This window comes from Homo sapiens, chromosome 2 (genome assembly GCF_000001405.40).
Source record: "Homo sapiens chromosome 2, GRCh38.p14 Primary Assembly".
Lineage (NCBI taxonomy): Eukaryota > Metazoa > Chordata > Mammalia > Primates > Hominidae > Homo > Homo sapiens.
Genome location: NC_000002.12, coordinates 83,253,496 through 83,276,820, shown reverse-complemented (window position 1 = coordinate 83,276,820; position 23,325 = coordinate 83,253,496). Strand labels below are relative to the sequence as shown.

Below are 23,325 nucleotides of genomic sequence, written 5' to 3'. Positions count from 1 at the left end.
AAAAAATTAGGTTTGTTTTTGTTTTACTTTGTTGTTTTTACATGCTGAAGACTGATATGGTTTGGCTCTGTGTCCCCACCCAAATCTCATGTTGGATTATAATTCCCACGTGTTAGAAGAGGGGCCTGGTGGGAGGTGATTGGGTTATGAAAGCAGACTTCCCTCTTGCTGTTCTAATAGTGAATGAGTTCACATAGGATCTGGTTGTTTGAAAGTGTGTAGTGCTTCCCTCTTCGCTCTCTCTCCTGCGGACATGTGAAGACCTTCTTGCTTCTCCTTCACCTTCTGCTATGATTGTGTGTTTCCTGAGGCCTCCCTTCTCAGCCATGCCTCCTGTATAGCCTGTGGAATTGTGAGTCAGTTAAACCTCTTTTCTTCATAAGTTACCCAGTCTCGTCAGGTAGTTCTTTACAGCAGTGTGAGAATGGAATAATACAGAAAATCAAGGAGGATTTCCCACTGAATTAGCTCCAATCTGACAAGGCAATGGGCATTTTTATTTGCTGTGTTTAGATGAAAGTTTGTTTCAACTATTTTTGACAATTAGAGTGGGACTGACCCATCTGAGCCCACTAGGGTGGTTGAACATGCTTTTGCTTATGTGTTTGTTTATTTCCCAATCTTTAAATACTATGAGAATACTATTCTTGGAGAGAGAAGGTACCTGCCTGCCATAGTAAAAATTTTCTCTATGATCTCCGTGTTTTTTTTTTTGTTTTTTTTTTTCTTGCTAGACCACATCAGCTCTTATACAGGCCCAGCTCTGACATGTCCTTGGAGAGAAACTCCACATCTAACAGAAGCTCTAAGGGACAGTGAAATGTATAAAACCAAATGTGTGTTCAAATTTCTGCCAGGCCACATTGACCTACCTCAAACATTTTAAATGGTGGTTTTGAGTCAGTAGGTACTTGGCTAGAGATTATAAATCAATCAGCTTAAATGTCTAACTATAAAAAAAAAAAAAACTAAAGAGTAATGTGTCATTAGACACAGCAAATATATGCATATGCTTAAAAAACCTGTTCTTTTATTATCCACTGTTTCTCCTTAAATTTTAGTGCCTTCAATCAAGATTTGACTGCATTTATACCAAACATTTCCCCTTTCCAGAGGATGATTTTTGCCTAAAATAGCCCAGGAGAACATTTGGGAGTATCCCAAATTGTTGTTGCTACATCAAATAAATCACATCTACTATTTTGTAATTTTAACTATTAAAACGTATTAGGAAATATGGCCTGCCACTCTTTTGGCAGAAGCACGTGATTAAGCAGCTTGGTGAATAGAATGAACAGGCGCTGGGATAAAAATCAAAAAGCCCATCCATTTTCATGCTTCTGGGGAAAATAAATCTTTGGGAGTTCCAACTAGTAGAACATTGCTTTCTTGTTTTTGTAGTTTAGTGCATTTTGGGTTTTCAGAGCTTTCTCTGATCATTTCATATTTGCTAATGTGAAAGACAATCATAATGAATTGCTTGCAGTGTATTTGCTGCCTTATTGATAAACCATGCCAAGCATTAATGGGGCAGAAAGCTAATCCTTACTATTTGGGCAATTATATTTATCATTCTGATAGTGAGTAATAATAGTACATTCTGAACTCTGAATGCAAGAGCATGTCTGAATCCTTAATCCTCAATACCACATGTTCCTTACATATAATAGTTATCAGAAACATTGGTTGAACGATTGAATGCAACATTACAATTAATTCAATAGACAGACATTGCTTTAGTATGTGTCATCCTCTGTCTTTGGAATGTCCTCTCCAGCCCCATCCAATACACCTGGCCCATGCAAATTCATCCATAGAATTTCATATCAGACATCACTTCTGAAAGCAATCCTCCTCTGGTTATGTACAAGACAAAGGTAATCACTCTCCCCTTGGAGCTATCTAGATATCATGTTTATGTTTTTACATTGCACATATGTACTCTTAAAGTTCGTTTGTATGTCTTTCCCATGATCAGAGAGAATTTCTTTTAAGCGTACAGTAGGTATTTCTTTTTCTCTGTCTTTTCTTTATCTAGCACGAGGTATGTAATAAACTTTCCCTATTGTTGGATACATTCAAGGATGTCTAGATGGATTGAAGAAGATATGATGTCTGTACCCCTGAATTCTCATACAAACATGTCTTTAAATTATGTTATTAACATTATATCAGTTGGATGTGATATTTGAGCTGCTAACTCGCTCTCCAGTTGTTAAGAAAAAAATTTATTAAACAAATACTTTTTTGGGCAGGGCATGGTGGCTTACGCCTGTAATCCCAGCACTTTGAGAGGCCGAGGGGGGCGGATCACTTGATGTCAGCAGTTTGAGACCAGCCTGTCCAACATGGTAAAACCCCACCTCTACTAAAAATACAAAAAAATGGTGGTGGGTGCCTGTAATCCCAGCTACTCAGGAGGCTGAGACAGGAGAATTGCTTGAACCTGGGAGGCAGAGGTTGTAGTGAGCCAGGACGATGCTATTGCACTCCAGCCTGGGCAACAAAGTGAGACTACATCTCAAAAAAAAAAAAAAAAAAAAAACTTTTTTGAAATCCTGAAAAAATGAGCATGAATATGTCGCATATACAAGTAGGGAATAACATTTAGGGCAAATGACATTTTAAATGCAAAGCTATAGAGCTGATTTTTGGTCCTATTTAATCTATGTAATGGAGAGAAATTCAGTGTTATACTGGTAGTGAGAAAGGAGAATGCAAATATAGACAGGAGTAAGGCATAAGGTTTACCCCATGGTTGTGGGAAGTGAAAAGCCATGTGCTAGATGGTCTGGAGTGATCATAAACTCATTGGCATGGACAGCAGTAAGAAATTCAAGCAATAGATAATAAGGACTCAATAAAATGAATGGCAGCATAGGTAGAAAGAAAAATCAGATTTAAGGATATAGCTAAATTACAATTGACAGAATATAGTGACTATTTACACAGAGTTGAGACACATATTGTGCACCAAGTTTTTTTGTCATTTTTGTTGTGTTTTTAACTTTAAACAATTTTTTGAAATGTAGTATTATTAAGAGAAATAAAGAAATGTGAGAATTGGGTCATAAATGGGACATAAATTGTAAGACAGATAATAAATTATCTTGCATACATGTTAAGTGCCACTGAATTTGCATATAAAAATGTCCACTAGGCATTATGAAATGTGTTTATCACATGAGAGCATTTTCAGATAAGACTACAGATTTTGTACTTAATGACATGGAAATAGCAGTTGAAAAACTGAAAACAAATAAGGTCACTCTGTGAATACAGAGCAAAGAACAAACAGGATCACATTTTGAATTCTGGGAATCATGTACTGTTGAAGAATGAATAGAGCAGGAAACACCAGCAAGCTTTAATACACCAGCATACAAAAGAAGCAAGCACCTTCATCCAAATATTTTTGGCTGATAAGGAAACCTTGACACTGAGAAACTTCTTATATCTGTACTAGGTTTACAAGAGAGATAATGAAAGTGTGCTCTAGGCATTATTATGTTTTTCTATAAGCATTTGCTTCAGGCCGTAATCTGTTCTCCAGGTAACTGTGTTTAATGATGTAGAAGTACAAGGATTCCTTCTGTCTTTTCTCCAGGTAGACCTAGGTCTCAGAACCGTAAAAGTATGTCAACACTAGTTCTTGGTGTTTTCTTAGGCTTGTACCTTAATTTAGAATCTTCAGAATTTTTATTAATACAATGGTGAGAAAAAGGAAATAAAGGAAAATACAAACCAAGAAAAACAATGGAGCATTAAAAGAGATTTTTCCGAAAGACCTGATGCAGATCTTTTCAAATTAGCTAATCAAAGTATCTTTATAGGAGATGCCTAATCACCAGAAGGCTCAAGCAAATCTTACCATCCAGCTAGATCAAAATAGAAATTCAAATTCCTAAGAAAGAAAATACCCAAAACATAAAATATTCTCTTGCTGTCATCCTAAGTCATTTTGAAGAAAAGCCGAGAGTGGAGTTGGGTAGAATATTGAGCTTCTCCTAATGGCAGTATCAAAGAAGGCCAATGGAATTGGAGATTAACAGGAGAGAGCTGTAAGACGCAAGATTCACTGAATAGTGACAATGAAGTCATACAAACACATCACTTATGGATGTTGATTGATTATAGGTTGTGGAATTTAGTTGTTAGGTAATAATTGATGGCTTAAGAGAAGTTATGCATACACAAGACATAAAGCAAATATGACAAAATGTCAATTGTTCATTTTTGGTTCTAGAATATTTCATTCTGATGTACATATACATCAGAACCATATATATATACACATATACATATATATATATCAGAACCATATATATATACATATACATATATATATATCAGAACCATATATATATCAGAACTATATATATATATATATACACACACACACATTTATACATGTGGGTGTTTATATATATATATATATATGGTTATGGTAGTCTTACAAATCTTATGTAGCATTTGGTCATTGTCAAAAGTGAAAAGGCATACATCCTTGTTTCTTTACCTTGAGGGTGCAGCCCTGAAGAGTGAAGACAGTGACGAGTGATAGAGCACAGGAAACACTCTAATAGTGAAGTATGGTCCCCATTATGATGTTAAGAAGAAGGAAGTAAACAATATGGATTTAAGGAGCATAAAAAGGGGATGGTAAATATAAAGTAATAATGACAAAAACTATCTGTGAACAAAAATGAATGCTACAATTAATCTTAGAAGGGAAGTTCAGGAAAAGCTAAAGGAAATTGATAGTTTAATAAGAAAAATGGGCAGAGATGTTGGATGGGTCAGAAGTTCTGGGGATTCCAGAGCTTAGTTAACACATCAGATTAGAGAATCATAAGATTAGATGAGCGTGTATAGAAATTCTTCATAAAAAGAAAAGTATTTCACTTGCTCTTTCTTTCCTCATTTGTAATTTTGAGAATTTATTTTTAAAATATTTTAAAATTGATATGCAATAAATGATAAATAGTGAACTCACTACAATTAGATATATTTTGTGCATCACTACAAATAAATATGTTTGAAGATAAATTTAAAATTCCTCAAAATTTTTTGAGCATATTTTAATAATAACATATTAGGAATATTAATTCTTAACAATATATTAAGAATTTGTATAAAACTCAGTCTTTTTTTACTGTAGAATAAAATGTCATCAGTGCAAATGTAATACAATTATCTCTGTGACAAGTTAAGCAAAGTTGCATCATAATTCTGCCCAAATTGTGTGACCTGGCTATTGTAGTAGGAAGAGGGCTGTTGCTACGCAGGAAAGCGCGTATGTGCAGTTATTTAGGTGATTAATTTTTTTCTGTTGGCATTATAAGCACTCATACATTTCATTAGCATTGAGTCATTTAATGTCAGCTATTTCTTGCTGCCTAAGGAGAAAAATAACCAAACAATCAAACCAAGCAAAAAAAAAAAAAACCCAGAAAGCCACATGAGCAAGAATCACAGTGTATTACAGGTAGAGATTTGCTCAGAACTTCCTAATTTTATATATTGACAGAACAAGGCCCCAAGTCACTTGCTGACTGAGTGGCAAAGTTGGGATAAGAGTCCATGGCTTCACAGTTCTAGTCTAGAATCTTTGCAGCATGAAACAGAAATAAAAGTTATTGGAGGGATAAGTTCAAGACATCTATTGAACATCATGGTGACTATAGTTAATAACAATGTATTCTGTAAATCAAAAAGTATCTGGGACAGTTCTCAGTAAATTTAGAAGTTTATTTTGCCAAGGTTAAGGATACATGCCTAGGAGATAGGTCGATGCCTTTCTCCAAAGATGATTTGGAGGGGTTCAGTATTTAAAGAGGGAAAGGCAAGCTGGAAGGGGAAGAGGGAGGGTATGGTCACATTACTGAACCTACATGTTGCAAGAGAAAAGGAACAGGTAGGGGAATAGTCAATTATACATTTGTCTCACACTCAGTAAATCAGCACTTCACATAAGATAAGGTGAACACAGAGTAGCTACTTGTGGAGATATTTAACTTTTTATCTGTAGCTATATGCTTAGAAACAAAAGGAAAGGTAGTTTCTTGCACAACTCAGTTTTCAGCTTACATTGTTTTCTTTTGGCCTAGTGAAATTAGAGTCCCAGATTTTTATTTTCCTTTCACAATTCTATACTTGAAAATTGCTGAGTACATTTTAAGGGTTCTCATAGTAAAAAATGAAAAGTATGTAAGTTAATGCATGTTAATTAGCTTAATTTAGCTCCTCCACAATGCGTATATATATATATATATCTCAAAACATTATGAAGGCTGGGTTTGGTGGCTCACGCCTATAATCTCTGCACTTTGGGAGGCCAGGGGGCCATCTGAGAAATATAACGGGACCGCACCTCTACAAAAACATTTAAAAATTAAAAAAAAAAAAAATACCCGGGCATGGTGGCATGTGCCTGTAGTTCTAGCATCTTGAGAGGCTGAGGTAGGAATATTGCTTGAGCCCAGGAGTTTGAGGTGAGCTATGATCACACCACTGCACTCCAACCTGGGTGACAGAGTGACACCCTGTCTCCCTTAAAATAAAAAAAATCATGTTATATACCTTACACACACAATTTTTATTGGTCAATTAAAGCAACATTTAAAAAGCCATTGTGGTGAAAGAAAAAAAACAAAGGCATTGGAGTTACCTCTTCCTCCATGGAGTCTTAATGCAAAGCATCATGGTGGACCCCGAAAGATTTAATGAGCTCAGTTCCAGTAGTCTTTGAATCTTATTTTATTAGCTTGATGTTGTGTGGCAACCTTAATGAGTAAAACAAGTCAGTGAGCATTTTTACCTATTTTTCTCCCTCTTTTTATCTCTTCGTGGCCTTCTGTACTTCAATAAATATATGAATAAATGAAAAAATGAAATCCTTACTTGCTAATTCAATAGGACCTGTCATAGAAGTGTTTCTGTTTAACCCTTATACTTGGCTCCATGTCACCAATTTGATTCCTGTACTCCAGTTGGCTGGCATTAAGTGCAGCTTGAATTTGGAATTAATTAATACAGTTGACATTTGAAATCATGAATTTAATGTCAGGGCAAAAAACTATGGGAGTTATAACAGTTATGGTTAAAACCAGAAACGAGAAACTCAATCAAATATTTAAAGTACATGAAATTTAGCACAGGGAATTGGTTTAAAATGTGAGAGAATAGCTAAGAAGCCAAAAAGAGGAGGGCCTGGCAATCTGAGCATTAGTCAAAGCAGGAAAGCGCTTTCACTCCTCAGGGTAGAGGGACAAAGGGAGGCTGTGATGTCATGGAGCCTGAGGATCAAGGGTTAACTGGTGGAATATGAAACCAAGGTGGAGCTCTCAGGTGCCAGGTAGAGTCATGGATGGGACTCTGCCCTTAACTCACACCTGGACTGTTAAATATCCACTCTGAGGTGAGGGAGAGGGACACTACTAATTTTCTCTTCCTCTCACTGTGTAATCCCGGCAATACTGAGCACAGCAGAGGAAAAAAATAAAAAATAAATAAAAAGGATGGAGGTAAAATAGGATGAAGACAAGAACAACAGTATTTCTTAAAATATGGTCCATAAAGTAACTATTACAGTCACCTAACAATTTTGAAAATGCAAACTTCTAAGACAGAAATCATGACTTATTATTCAGAACCTCAGGGTTGGTGGAGTATGATTTAAAAACCTGAATATATAATGAGCTAAAAATGAGAAAATGAGAAAATCCATGAGCTATGGCTGAAGAAAATCTGCTCAGGAATCTTTCTTCTTTCTCTAAGTTATAATTTATGATAACTTATGGAACCACACAAATATCTCAAATAAAAATTTATATTTACTTTTTTAGCTATTCTAAAATGAGAAAATTAAAAGAAAGGCTGATTATTTTAATTTACTCTTAAATAGGCTAATTATAAATATCCTAAATAGTTGCAAGATGTTATTAAAATTTCATCATGTTAACTGCTAAAAATAACTTCAGCTTTGTGATACCACACATATGATGGATGGAGAGAAAGAGAGGCAATACTTACTAAGTGTTTATTATGTGGCAGAAAAATATACATATTATATATTTTAGTCATTAAAAAACCCTTCATGGAAATATGTATCCTCCAGTCTTACAGTTACGGCAACTGAGGCACTGATATTTGACATGTGATAATCCATGTCTCATGGCTGTTTCTGGACTGGGCCAAGATTTAAACTTGTGTAATTCAGCTTCAGAAAAAAATCCATGAAAGCTTTTATCAAACAGAAAACTCTTATGTTTTTGTTTCCTCTCCTTCCTTTACTAATTGCAAAAACCCTATGAAGAAAAGTATAAAAATTATAAGTTTACAGCTTGAGGAATTTTGGTGAAGTGAACACACACGTGTAACAGGCACCTACAACAAGAAACAGAACTTGACTAGACCCTCCTCATATCTCCTTGCAGGCATTAGTTATCCAAGGCTAAAACATCTATGCTGACTACCAACATCATATATTTTTGTATGTTTTTAAAATATAAATGGTATTATATTATATGTAGTCTTTTGTGTGCAACTTCTTTTTTTTGAGCATTATCTTTGTGATTTTCATCCATTCTTTTCTCGTGCAGCAGTAGCTAGCTTATTCTCATTGCTGTTAGCATTCCCTTTTAGGAATATCCACAGTTTGTCACTGTACATCCACAATATTTTATGTTGGCTATAAAAATATTCCAAATTTCTGTAAATATACACCTAAAGAAAACTTTTCTATAAGGATTCGTCCTGATTTGAATTATAATCAAATGACATATATAAGTGTGTGTGTATGTGTGTATATATAATACATATGTAGTTTTATAAATTTAAAATATTTGTGTAGCTCAAATTGAGTTAATGACAGTTACACATTTGTATTTTTATATATATAATACATATACATATATATATAATCTGCTGTATGTTTGGTAATGTAGGACATATTGAGTAAAAGATATATATAACAGTTACATAAAATATCATGTCACATCACTTCACACCTACTTCATACCTAATCAAAAACAATGGAAAATAATAAGTATTGATGAAAATGTGGAGAAATTGAAACTCTTTGACATTGATGGCAGGAATGTCTGGTCCACCTTTTTTCATATTTGATTTACTTGGTACCTTAACTAAAGCCCTGTCTCCAGGTTTATAACCACTCTGCACAGCCTTCTAATTGAAATTCTATTCACATTATTCATTTGTTTATGACCATCAACAGATCTCTACTGGCATCTCATTTTGTCTACACTTTCAGGTCCTAGAGTTTATTATATGAACTGTTTTCTCATGGCATACAGCTATATCTCTAGCCTTCTCTCATGGTGCAGAGCTACAGATTACTTTTCCCATAAGAAATATGTTTCTTTGAGTTATGTGGGCATCATTCTCTCCATTTGGAACCCACTATGTCATCTGTCCCCTTAGGAGAAAATCTTAGCATTTTTGTCCCTTTGAGCCATCCATACCTTAAATAAACAGAACAATTGCACTTTTAAAATAATAAATTTGCCCTAATCCTTTACATATCTGTTTTCTAATGAACTATACAAACTTTGAGAACAGAGCATGTCTCATTCATCTTTGAAACCCAATACTGAATAAATTCATGTTGGATAAATACCTAAATAAATTCATAGCTAAAAAAAGAAGAGATTATTTCTAGCTAAAGGCAAGTAAGCCTTTGCAGATAAAAGAAAACTTTACTTTCAAAATCCCTTGGTAATCAGAATATATTGCTTAGGACCTGTTTTCAAGGAGCAACCCTTTTAATGTATCTATTGGCCATATCAGAAGCAGAATCGATCAGCATAGAGATAGCTAATATATGAAACCCATTAGGTATATTTGCTCTCCTAAGTAGGCCAAACATTGGCTACAGAATCTCATTTACAAACAGGGTTATTCATCACATTTTCTCACAATGGATAGTGTACCAGACATTAATCCATCAATATATTGAATCCTCACAAATTTGTGTAGCTGAAACTGAGTTAATGACAGTGAGGGTCACACGTGTCCCTAACAAATTAGATAAGTTGTTACTTAGTGACATATGCAACAAATATAAAGCTAGTGAATCAGTGAAGCTAGTAAAGCTAGATATCTAAAATAAAACCCTGAAATTAGTCTCCAGTAACTGACTGGCAAATCAGAGCTTGGTCTGTCTGGTCTTTAACATTCAAAAAAGACACCTGGCCAAATTTTTAACATTATCATTTCTCAGGAAAAAAAAATGCAATTTGAAAGGCGGAACTGGAGGGCAGAAATAGCCTCAAACACTGGCTCATCCTAATTCTGCCAGCACAATTTCTTCTCCAGGAGGAAAACTGTTCACTATTAAGCACAAAGCTCATTTAACTCAAAATCCCAATCAACAGAACCCTGACAAAATGTTTCATAATTTTTTTTAAAAAAGTAACCAGCCTACTCATAATAAATAAGAGTAAGTGCTATAGGAATCTGAACCCCAAAATTTAGAGACAGGTCTCAGTTGATTTAGAAAGTTTATTTGGCCAAGGTTGAAGACAACACCCATGACACAGCCTCAGGAAGTTCTGATGACATGTACCCAAGGTGGTCAGGGCACAGCTTGGTTTTACACATTTTAGGGAGACCCGAGACATCAATCAATGTTTGTAAGAAGTACATTAGCTCTGTCCAGAAAGGCAGCGCAAACTCAAAGCAAGGACCCCTGACTGGTGGCTTCCAGGTCACAGGTAGGTGAAAGAAAGATGGTTGCATTCTTTTGAGTTTCTGCTAAGTCTTTCTAAAGGAGGCAATCAGATATGCATCTGTCTCTGTGACCAAAGAGATGACTTTGAATAGAATGGGAGGCAGATTTGCTCTGAGCAGTACCCAACTCCTTTCACAGAAAATAAACAAATTATTATATAGCACACCTTAGATTTTTAAAAGGGGATAGATGAGCAGTTTTGCAAAAGTCACTTTCAAAATTGTAGATTATTGGGCAGCAGGGGAGAGAGAAAGGGGTGGGGAAGAGAAGAAAAAAGACCCAACTGAGTTGCATCCATACTTCAGAATTTGTAATAAGCAATTTGCAGCATGCATGTTGGAATGACACACAGGCTGATTATGAAGAGAGAAGTAGCAATCCTCAGTCTCTTTCCTTTATTTCTTCCAGCTCTGCCTATTTCCACAAGTTCTCCCAGATTTTTTTTTTAGTAACATTAAGCATTATGAGAGATAGCATGTCACTCCTTCAAAACATCAACTCTAGAACACAATGGTCTGAATCAACAGCTTCTGAAAAAATGACCTATATATTACTTTATGTTTCTGATTTTGTTTTGTTTTGTTTTTTGAGGCTGAGTGTCTCTCTGTTGCCCAGGCTGGAGTGCAGTGGCAAGATCTCTGCTCACTGCAACCTCTGCCTCCTGGATTCAAGTGATTCTTGTGCCTCAGCCACCTAAGTAGCTGGGATTATAGGCATGCACCACCACGCCCGGCTAATTTTTGTATTTTTAGTAGACACAAGAGTTTCACCATGTTGCCCAGGCTGGTCTTGAACTCCTGACCTCAAGTGATCTGCCTGCCTCTGCCTCTCAAAGTGCTGGGATTACAGGCCTGAGCCACTGTGCCCAGCCTTACTTTATGTTTCAATCAAAGTGGAAGTTGTACTGTATAATTTACAACATTAAACTTTAGAATGAAGCATGGCCATTCCCTTCCAATGTCCATACTAAATCTAACTTCATTTTATCCCCAAAATAACACACACACATACACAGGCAAACACACATACATACTGCATTCTGTAAGTGCATTTCTTCTTTCCATCCTTGAATAAATCTCTTACATTTGATTAAATCAATGTTTTATATTACCATGAGTGTGAACTAGTGTTCCCTGCTGACTCATGTTATGAACTAGGCTTACATTTTTTTCCTTGTTAATTTTTTCACATGCAATTAATATTTGCCACTTATTTTATTTATGGAATTCCTGTATCCCAAAATATAGGACAGCAGCTTAAATCAACTATCCCTTAGTGTAAACACATAAGATGGTTAACTGTCTCCCTTTTTGTCACTGTTCTTTCTTCATAGAGCCCTAGCCCTCCAGCACCAATGTGGACAGATTGCCCTCCAGGTCTCTGTATTGCTGAGGACCTGCAAATTCAGCGCACTTTACTTCTGCATTTGGCTCATTGTTTTGTAGATCACATGAGTTCTTTGTTCTTAGGTTATTTCCTTGATTTTGAAGGACCATGTCCTAGCTTCCTACACTGGTCAGATAAAACTTTCAAGGTTTGGTTTGTTTTTGTTTCAGTATTTGCATATTTACTATTATCTTTCTCCTCATATTTTATCATTTAACTGGATATAAAAATTAGGCTTCAAAATAATTTTCTCCCAGAATGTTGAAGGCTATAATCCCAGACAATCTGAGACAGGTCTCAGTTAATTTAGAAATTTTATTTTGCCAAGCTTAAGAATGTGTGCCCGTGACACCACCTCAGGAAGTCCTGATGACATGTGCCCAAGGTAGTCAGGACACAGCTTGGTTTTACACATTTTCGGGAGACATGAGACATCAATCAATATATGTAAGAAGTACATTAGCTCAGTCCAGAAGGGCAGAGACAACTCAAAGCAGGGAAGGGGCTTCCAGGTCACCGGTAGGTGAGAGACAAATGGTTGCATTCTTTTGAGTTTCTGATAAGCCTTTCCAAATGAGACAGTCAGAATATGCATCCATCTCAGTGAACAGGAAAATAATTGAATAGAATCAGAGGCAGATTTGCCCTGAGGAGTTTCCAGCTTGAATTTTCCTTTTAGGTTAGTGATCTGGGGTGCCCAAGATATGTTCCTTTCACAAGGCATTGCACCCATTCCGCAAGATTGATATCAGTAGTAACAAGTCTGATGTTATTTTGAAGTCCAATCCAATGTTGTTACTTGTTTATATTTGATAGTTTCATTGTAGGCCTTCTTTCAGGTTTTCCGTTTGTTGTTGTTTTTTTCTCTTCCTGTAATCTGACTGAATTTTTTAGGATAAAATCAAAATATGATTTCTGGTGGTGTCATGGTCAATGATGAACTTTTCATTGACTTCCATTCACTGAGGGAAAATCATGGGACAATTTAGAATATACCTAGATTTATATGTCTACCCAGTTATAAATCTAGATATACCCTGGTACTCTTTTCAGTACCAGGTGGGCTAAGGATATTCACTGCACTTCTGTTACCACAGATAATGTCACACATAAACTAATTTGTTTACAAAAGAAGGAAAGAAAAAGAAAGAAGGAAGAAAGGAAAAGAAGGAAGGAAGGAAGGAACTATTTTAGTGTATGTCCTCTGGTAGTTGTGATGCTTCTGTTTTGATTTTTTTGGTTGTTGTTTTGAGATAGAGTCTCACTCTTGTTGCCCAGGCTGGAGTGCAATGGCGTGATCTCAGCTCACTACAACTTCTACCTCCCAGGTTCAAGTAAGTCTCCTGCCTCAGCCTCCCAAGTAGCTGAGATTACAGATGCCTACCACCATGCCTAGCTAATTTTTGTATTTTTAGTCAAGATGGAGTTTCACCATGTTGGCCAGGCTGGTCTCGAACTCCTGACCTCAAGTGATCTGCGTACTTCGCCTCCCAGAGTGCTGGGATTACAGGCATGAGCCACTACGCTCGGCCTTCTTTTGATTTTTAATTTTGTTTTCACCTAGACCAGTCACCTTCTTTACTATATAATAGCATTTAGGGGACAAGGACCAGGGAATAGTATAATGCATCAAAGTCCACTTCACAAAGACCTGACTCCATGAAATGGATCCCATTAGAACTCTCCACTTGGTTTAATTATCTGAGTTAAGCAGTCACAGACCAAAAAGCCATTGCAAATATCATGAATATGATTTAGTCTACAGGGAGATAATAAGAAAAAAAAAATACGAACCACAAAAACAAAGCAACACTCAGAAAACAGCCTACCCCTAAAGCCTCTGAGTCACAAATCACAGGTATGTGCTTTCTCAATGGCTGTCAACTCTGACATATCGTGTTCTTCCGCTGAGAGCCCTTTGTTCATGAGGTCCATCAGTGTCCAGAACCGCTGTGCAGATGTGAAAGTGAGGCCCATGCCTGGACTTCTCTTACGAATCGTTAGGTAGGCTCCTGAGGGAAAGAGAAGGAGAGAAGACAGGTACGCCGATTTGGGATTGCTTCCCTTGTTTGTGACAGGGTGGTATCTCAAGGCACAAAATAGCTCTATGTTTTTGTTTCTTAAAACTAGCTTCTCTCTTAATACAGTCTGTTCTGTTCTTTCTCCTGGAAGTTTCTACTGCAAAGTTTCTCGAGTCTTTATTTTGTCTATAAATGAATTGATCCCTTCAAGCTTTTAATGAACGCTCCTGATATTTTTGGAAAGATTAAAATATCCTAACATCTCCAACTCTGAATGATAAGGGATTCTCACTTGCCTGCTAGATCAGCCCCCTCTGAGGCTGGAACTCAAGGATATTGCTGTCAAAATCAGACCCTCTGAAGTTGGGCATGTGTTCATACCAATGCCAAAGCATCACATCAAATAAGATAATAATAACAACCATGTTCTGTTGCTAAAGGGTCACATTGTCAGGTCTTTTTCCTGAAGCCTCATATTAACTTGGGCTGGTAGTTTACTGACAAATTATTTTTTAACAATTGTATTAGGTGATATTTCCCATGATTTTTAAAAAATCAGAAAAAAACTTTTTTGGTACAAGAAAGCCAGGATTTTATACTCTCCAGGGCTAGCCAGTGGTGAGAGCCACACCAAAGACAGGCTTCTAGCAACCTTCCACAAAGGCTCTCAAAAGTTAACTTTGAGTCAGGAGGAGCCTGTTGCAATGTTAATATGGTAACCAGCAGAAGTGGTCTATTGATTTTTTAAAAAAATTCAGTGTGTCCTTGAACATGTTGGTCTCTTAGACTACAAGTTACTTCTCATTGTGTGATTGAGACAAACAACCTTTTAAAAATCCATGTTATGTATTCCAGGAGGCCCCTAACTGCCACCATCCCCCACCACCACCCCCTGCCCCGCCACCACCACACCCCCAGCAGAGCTTGTTTCTCCACACTGTATGTCAGAAATCTATATCTGTACTTTATTGACAATACTCTTTTGTTTGTTTGGATGTCTGTCACCACACAGGATTGTGCTTCATATTTTATGTGCTTTATATCCTCTCAGTGTTTGCTGAGAGAATGAATAGATAGATAACAGATAAAGAAATGAATGAATAATTCTATTATTGCATGTAAATATCTGAGTTCAATGAAGTTAATAATATTCACAAGTACTTGAACTTGAAAGAATGGGAATCAGGACAGGAAAGATTTGAAAAAGAGACATGACATTCAATAGTGGTTTTTCAACTTTATTTTTATAACTTTTTAATTTTTATTTTAGGTTCAGAGGTATGTGTGTTGGTTTGTTATATAGGTAAATTGCATGTCATGAGGGTTTGGTATACAGATTATTTCATCACCCAGGTAATAGGCATAGTACCTGAGAGGTAGTTTTTCAATCTTCTTTCTCCTCCTATCCTCCACCTTCAAGTAGACCCTGATATCCATTGTTCCCTTCTTTGTGTTCTTGTGTACTCAATGTTTAGTTCCCACTTAAAAGGAAGAACATGTGGTATTTGGTTTTCTGTTCCTGCATTAGTTCACTTAGGATAATGGCCTCCAGCTCAATCCATGTTCCTGCAAAGGACATGATCTCATTCGTTTTTATGGCTGTGTAGTATTTCATAATGTATATGTCCCATATTTTCTTTATCTAGTCTACAGTTAATGGGCATTTAGGTTGATTATATGTCTTTCCTATTGTGAATAGTGCTGTCATGAACATAGTTGTGCATGTGTCTTTATGACAGAAAGATTTCTATTCCTTTGGATATATACCCAGTAGTGGGATTACTGGGTTGAATAGTAATTCTGTTTTAAGTTATTTGAGAAATGTGAGAACATGCAATATTTGATTTTCTGTTCCTGCATTAGCTTGCTAAGAATAGTCACCTCCACCTTCATCCATGTTCCTGCAAAGGACATGACCTCATTCTTTTCTATGGCTGCATAGTATTCCATGGTGTTTATGCACCACATTTTTTATTGAGTCTACCACTGATGAGCATTTAGATTGATTCCATGTCTTTGCTATTGTGAATAGTGCTGCAATGAACATATGTGTGTATGTGTCTTTATGATAGAATGACTTATATTCCTTTGGGTATATACCCAGTAATGGAATTGCTTGACTGAATTGTATTTCTGTTGTGTTGGTCTTTGAGGAATCACCACACTGTCTTCCACAATGGTTGAAATGATTTACACTCCCATGAACAGCATATAAGCATTCCTTTTTTTCTGCAACCTGTCAGCATCTGCTATTTTTTGACTTTTTAATAGTAGCCATTCTGACTATTGTGACATGATATCTCATTGTGGTTTTGACATCTCACTGTGGTTTTGATTTACATTTCTCTAATAATCAGTAATGTTGAGCTTTTATTCATAATTGTTGGCAACATGTATATATTCTTCTGAAAAGTTTCCATATCTTTTGCCCACTTTTTAATGGAGTTGTTTGTTTTTTCCTTGTAAATTAAAGTTTCCTTTAGATCCTGGATATTAGACCTTTGTCAGATGCATAGTTAGCGAGAATTTTCTCCCATCCAGTAGGTTGTCTGTTTCCCCTGTTGGTAGTTTCTTTTGCTGTGCAGAGCTCTTTAGTTTAATTAGATCACATTTGTCAATTTTTGCTTTTATTGCAATTGCTTTTGGCAGGTTTGTCATGAAGTCTTTGTCCACTGTAATGTCCAGAATAATATTGCCTGGGTTATCTTCCAGGGTTTTTATAGTTTTCGGTTTTACATTTAAGTCTTTAATCCATCCTGAGTTGATTTTTGCATATGGTTTAAGAAAGGGGTGCAGTTTCAATCTTCTGCACATGGCTAGCCAGTTACCCCAGCACCATTTGTTGAATAGGGTGTCCTGTTCCTATTGCTTGTTTTGTTTGCTTTGTTGAAGATCAGATGGCTGTAAGTGTGTTGCATTATTTCTGGGCTATTTACTTATTGTATTCCATTGGCTTATGTGTCTGTTTCTGTACCTGTATCAAGCTGTTTTGGTTACTGTACCTTTGTAACATAGTTTGAAGTCAGATAATACTATGCTCCCTGCTTTGTTCTTTTTGCTTAGATTTCCCTTGGCTATTCAGGCTCTTTTTTGGTTCTATGTGCATTTTTAAATAGTTATTTTCTAATTCTATGAAGAATGTCTTTGGTAGTTTGATAGGAATACCATTGAACCTGTAAGTTGCTTTGGGCAGTATGGCCATTTTAACTATATTGATTCTTCTTATCCATGCGCATGTAATGTTTTTCCATTTCTTTGCGTCATCTCCGATTTATTTGAGCAGTGTTTTTTTAATTCTCACTGTAGAGATCTTTCACCTCCCTGATAGCCATACTCAAAGGTATTTTATTCTTTTTGTTGCTATTGTGAATGGGATTGCATTCTTGATTTGGGTGTCTGCTTGGAAGTTGTTGGTGTATGGAAATTTTGTTGATTTTTGTAGATTGATTTTGTATCCTGAAACTTTTCTAAAGTTGTGTATCAGATCTAGGACCTTTGGAGCAGAGTTTGGTAGCATTATTTTTTCTTAAATAAAATTTATATCAAGTCCTACATATGAAATATGTAAAAGAAGACTGAGTCTGAGTTTGGTAGCTCAAATCTCTAATCGCAGTATTTTGAGAGGCTGTGGTGGGAAAATTTTATGAAACCAGCCTGTGCAACACAGCTGACCCCATAATTTAAAAAAAAATGCTGGATGTGGTGTCATGCTCCTATAATCCCAGCTATTCAGGAGGCTGATGCAGAAGGATCTTTTGGGTCCAAGGACTGCAGTGAGCTGTGATTATGCCACTGCAATCCAGCCTGGGTGACTTAAAAAAATGGGAGAATGAGAAATGGGATCCCCAACTATTTGACCCTTTTGCCTTTACCTTAGAAGCCAGGAGCATCTCTGAGTAACTCTAGTGTTAATGCAATTCAGTTTATGAACCACTGGTCTAACTTGCACTCAAGATTATAAGCACACAGGACATCCAACCAGAGAAGCCAGACACCTTTAATGATTCTCATGACTTTTTTGCTCACACACATTCAAACTGACATTGCTGAGGACTCTTAGCCCTACTGCAAGTTTGTGTATTTCCTAAGTTTGGCAACTTATTCCTAAAATCAGCAGAAATGTGACGGGCCTAAGGCTATCTCTGAGACTCAACATTAAGTCAGTCTGTTAGCTAGTACTACTATGACCCTATGGCCTGGTTCTGGTGACTGTAACTGGGTTCTTGTTTTAATTCTTGTTCCTAAAACTTCATAAAATTCTACTGTTCTAGGAAGAGGTAACACCCTTGCTGTTTATTCATAGTTCAATACAGACATTCTTCTGATGCTGTGTTTCTGTTTAGACCTCCACAATATAATCTTGGAGTACAGACTGTACTTCACTCACTCATGTTTGGTTGCAGTGGCTGTGCTGATAACCTGTTTGCTTGATGGTCTTGCTACTCCACGTGGAAGGCTTAGCTCCTGGAACTCCTGGCTGTTTTCCTGCCCCTGGATACTGATGAGTAGCAGAATATGTCACTTCACATATGCCACTTTGGCTTAGGATTATTTTGAGCTAAAGTTACTTGAAAAACAGCAGATGTAGGAAGAGCATCCTAATCTCCTTTTTCTTCCTAAAAGCAGCAGAGAAAAGCTCCCATGTGAAAGATGTCCTCCCTAAATTAGGGAAAATAAAACATTTTTCAAAGAGGAGTCATAACTAACACAATTCTGTACAGACTTCATTAAAATAATTTCTTACCATCTTTTTATATTACAACATAATTTAGTTACTTTTCTATAATTGCCCCTTTTTGTTCAACCTGACATAAAAGTACTTAGGTTTTGCTAATTCTTTGGGTCTTCATTTTCCCATGAGGGCCCCAAGTCATGTTAAACATATGTGTATGCTTTTCCTTTGTTAATCTATTATACGTCTATTTAATCCCTAGGCTCGGCTAGAGACGCTAAGAGGATAGAGCTAAATTTTTGCCTCCCCTACGCTGCCTAGTCACTAGCTTCTGATACTTTCTGTTTTGGTCCATTCTACAAAAAAGAAATTCAGACTGTGTGTCAGGGTGGAAATACCAAAGAAATAGGGAATCCACGTGTAAAAGATGCTAATGCTGCCCATGCTAATTTGGTTAGGACTAACTCTACTTGCCTGGGTTTACTAGACTGAAAGTCAAGAACCTTTGAGTTGTCTTCCAATTATTCTATGTGGTAATATGTGATCTTGATAAAAATTGCTTTCGAAAATATCAGGATCCATATCTGTAAAATGGTCCTGCGGACTAAATGATCCCTAATATGCTTACAATGATCATTAACATATCTGATGTTTTAGGATTTCATTATTGTACCATAGAAAATGAGGACATTGTGTTTTAACCATTCATCCATTTGTACTACACATGCTTTTAAATGTTTCTCCTTTTATCTCCAGATTGCACTGCTGTATCCACTCACATCAGTGTGATTGATTTTCTAGTGACACAGAAGAATATGTACTTTACAACTCCATCCCTCACCTTGGAACTCAAAATTTACATGTTGAACAGTAAGTCCCCAAGGTCTTCATCATTCAAGCTTTCCTCCTCAACGATTCTATTTCTCCATAAGAGCAGCAAATTCAGGACAAACACAGTCCTCCTGGAGGCCAGTGCCATAATTAATAAGAATTAACACAACTTGGAGAGTAGGCTATTCACTTCCTCTGAAATGTGCGAACATAATTTAATCTTCTCAGTAATTTGTGAGATAGTGTATTATTTTCCTGCACTTTTCAGATGGAGTATCTAAGACACAGAGTTTCAATACGTAGGTGAAGTTCACATCACCAGTAGCAGACTGAACTGGGATCCAAAGCCAAGCAATGTCATCATCTGTCCTTCAATGCATGGTGCTCTGCCACCTCACTGAGAGACTGAGGATTCCTTTAAAATAAACTCTAATGGACACATCACATATACCATCATTCCTTCCCTTCTCTGCTGTTTCTCTCAGCTTCTCCCAGTCTTTCTGAAGCTTTCCCCCTACCATCAGTGAAATCTCTACCTTGTCAGGTTATTTGCTTGATTTCTGCAAAACTCCATTTTCTCAAAAAGAAACTCACTGGAGCAAAACTTAAATTCTAAATGTCACAGCTGTCAATTAGCAGTGTGACCTTTACTAAGTCATTCTCCTTCTATGGGTCTCAGTTTTGCTTTTTTACAGCCTCTAAGATTGGCTATAGCCCAGTGTGATTTTTTTATGATGTTTTGAACAAAGGCATTTGACTTTTATCATTTAACAGGAAAGGTTTGAATGTTATCAGTTTATGAAGTTATTTGTCTTAAGCATTTCATCATCTTCAAATAAATAGCTAAATATAGGCATGTAATGACAGGCTTTAACATGAAATGAGTTTCAAACATGTGAAGAAGCTTGATGATAGGTTGGTATACTTGAGAAATTCTTTAATAAATGTTTTTGAATTGGTAAAGGAACGAATGCATGAGTGTTGGTGGAATGTTGTGTTAATTAATGAAACAGCATTGTCAAGTTTAATAAAATCTCTGTTCCTTGCAAAGTCATTAATGTGCTATTCTAAATAAGATTAGGCCAAGGACTCTTGGCATTGCACCCTAAGTAGGCCAGATTTTAACAGAGGCTGTCCTTGCTACTGACCTCACCTTTTCCATCTACAGATCTAAAGCAGATGCTTTAAAAAAAAAATCAGGTTATTGGGAAAGATCTGGAGAAGCAGACTCCTTGTTGCTCCCTGGGTCACATAATCTACAAACTGTCCCTTTTGTCAATTGATTCAGGCAGAATGACTCTCCCAACATGCTTTCCCTTTGTGCCTGAAAGTACCTATGTTATAGAAATTATCCTCTTTAATTACAATTTTCTATTATTCTCTCTGAACAATGAGTACGTTGATGTTTGGGACTGTGTCTTTCTCCCTCGCTTCCCATTCCTTCTTCCCTGCCTGGTGTATATAAATAATGAGAGAACCATTGCTAAAATTGTATGACAAATGAGGTAATCAAGGTTGTAAACTAACTACAAATGCTCCTGATTCCATAATTAGGAGTCATGTGCTTTTGGAAGCAGTAAAAGTTCTGTGAGCACTGCATTTTCTGAAACATAGGCTGAGGTGCCACAAGGGAGGCATCTCACCCCTGTGTCTCTCTTCCAGATGTTCCTCTTCTGCTATCAGCTTCACTCCTGAGGGTATCCCTTCTCAAGCAGCTGTTTGCTGTCAGAAAGTGGCATACTTGCAGCATTAAGTGGGTCCTGGAACTGCCTAAAATGATCTTGGCCAGATCCCTTCACCACCTCATACACACTATTCGCAAACTGAATTTTCACTTCTTTTCCAGGGTCTTTTGCATACCTTATGTCCTCTGTTTCTTCTGCTACCATCTTAGCAGAATCCAAATAACTCTGAATCTCAGCCCTCCATTCTATCTGAAAGTGATTGCTTTCTTACCATGGATATTAGAATTTGCTTTATCCTGTGTGATAGTCAGGTATATAATTCATATTCTGACTGTAAGATATCTGCAAACTAATTGTGATAATTTGGACATGGATAAGAATTTGATTTTTCTGTATTATATAAAATAAAACTTGAAAGGCTTAAAGTAATTATACTGCAAGAAAATGCGAAGAGAACTTAAGACAGAAAAAGATATCTGAAGGTGTTCAGATTTCTCCAGCCTCATCTTTTCCTGAAAAATCATCCTAAAACTCCATCACTATCATCCTAAAACTCCATCACTATCACAACACTTCCTGTCTATAGCCTCCAGGGGTTTGTAACCTTGCTGCCGACAGTCTTACCCATCCACCAATGATATCAACAGCAGCTGAGAACTTATTAAAAATGCAGACATTTGGGTCACTCCAAACCAAGTGAAAAAGTGTCTTCATTTTAACAAGACCCTTGGTGATTTATATACATATTACAGGTCGAGAAGCACAGCTCTGGACCTCCAGTGGTCTATGTAGGGCTGGGCAACATTTTGGGGACAGAAATTTTGAGTATATATTAAAATACATATATACACCAACTTTGTTTCTTGTGTTTTAACATTTTATAAAAATATTTGCTGGATATCCTGAGAATATATGTTTCTTCCAGCCAAGAGACAGAATGGTGGAGTGATTAAACCACCACGAATGGATTTAAATCCAAACTCTGTGAATCATGACATAAACCTAGGCAGCTTATCTGTGCCTCAATGTACTCATCTATAAAATAGGTATAATAGAACCCAATTCATAGGGTAATTAGGCAGATGCAGTTTGTTAAAATGTATAAATTACTTAAATCCAGCATATCATTAGCACAATATGTGTTTGTAAAAATAATTAAGCACAATAATAGAAATGAAAGAATTAGCAATGTGGTTTATCCACATTGATATTGATATTTGAATATATTTTAGAGATACAAGTGAATAAAAAATAAAATTCAGAATAGAGGTCCTCAGTTATGATCTCATTTCATCTAAACAGTAAAACTGTGGAAACAATTTATTGTTATCCACATTTTGAAGATGTGAAAACCGAGGCTGAGCAGGATGATATAACTAACCCATCTAAAGTCATCAATGAGTTAACAAAGGCTGAGACTAAAGTACATTGCTTTCATTTGGTTCAACATTTGCAAAATATTGTTTATCTGCCAAGCTCTTAATAGGCCCCAGAATTACAGAGAAGGTGATCTAAATTTAAAGAAAGGAAAATATGTTTGGGAGATATCATTTAGGAAAAGAATACCACATTGAAAAACAATCTGAGTGAAAAATAACAAATGTATTTTCATGTTATAGCTAAGGAAATATGTGGATGCATCAAAAACACCAGGAAATCTATTTCCTAAGAGTGATGCTAGTAGTTTTATTTTTTTTTTAATTTTTGAGGGGCCCTCATACAGTCTTCCATAATAGCTGCATCATTCTTCATTGTTACCAGCAGCGTACAAGAGTTCTAATTTCTTCACATACTTGCCAACACTTTTTTCTTCATAGGTAGGTGTGGGTGTGGATAATATCTATCCTAACAGGTAAGACATGAGGTGATAATTCTGTGGCTTTAATGTGCATTTCCCTGATGATTAACACTTTTTCCTAAACCTAAATCAAGTGGCCATTTGTCTTTCTTCTTTCCAGAAATGCTTATTGAAGTCTT

The 23,325-nt window shown here is 36.4% G+C and overlaps 1 long non-coding RNA gene across 1 annotated transcript in view; it reads left to right on the top strand.

The window, feature by feature from the left end:
• The window catches only part of LOC105374833 (uncharacterized), a 36,976-nt gene extending 16,689 nt beyond the window's left edge, over positions 1–20,287 (top strand). The window contains exons 2-3 of the long non-coding RNA XR_940306.2: positions 19,589–19,702; positions 19,932–20,287. This is a non-coding gene — a long non-coding RNA (uncharacterized LOC105374833). The remainder of the gene's footprint in view (positions 1–19,588; positions 19,703–19,931) is intronic.
• Positions 20,288–23,325: the final 3,038 nt, after the last annotated feature.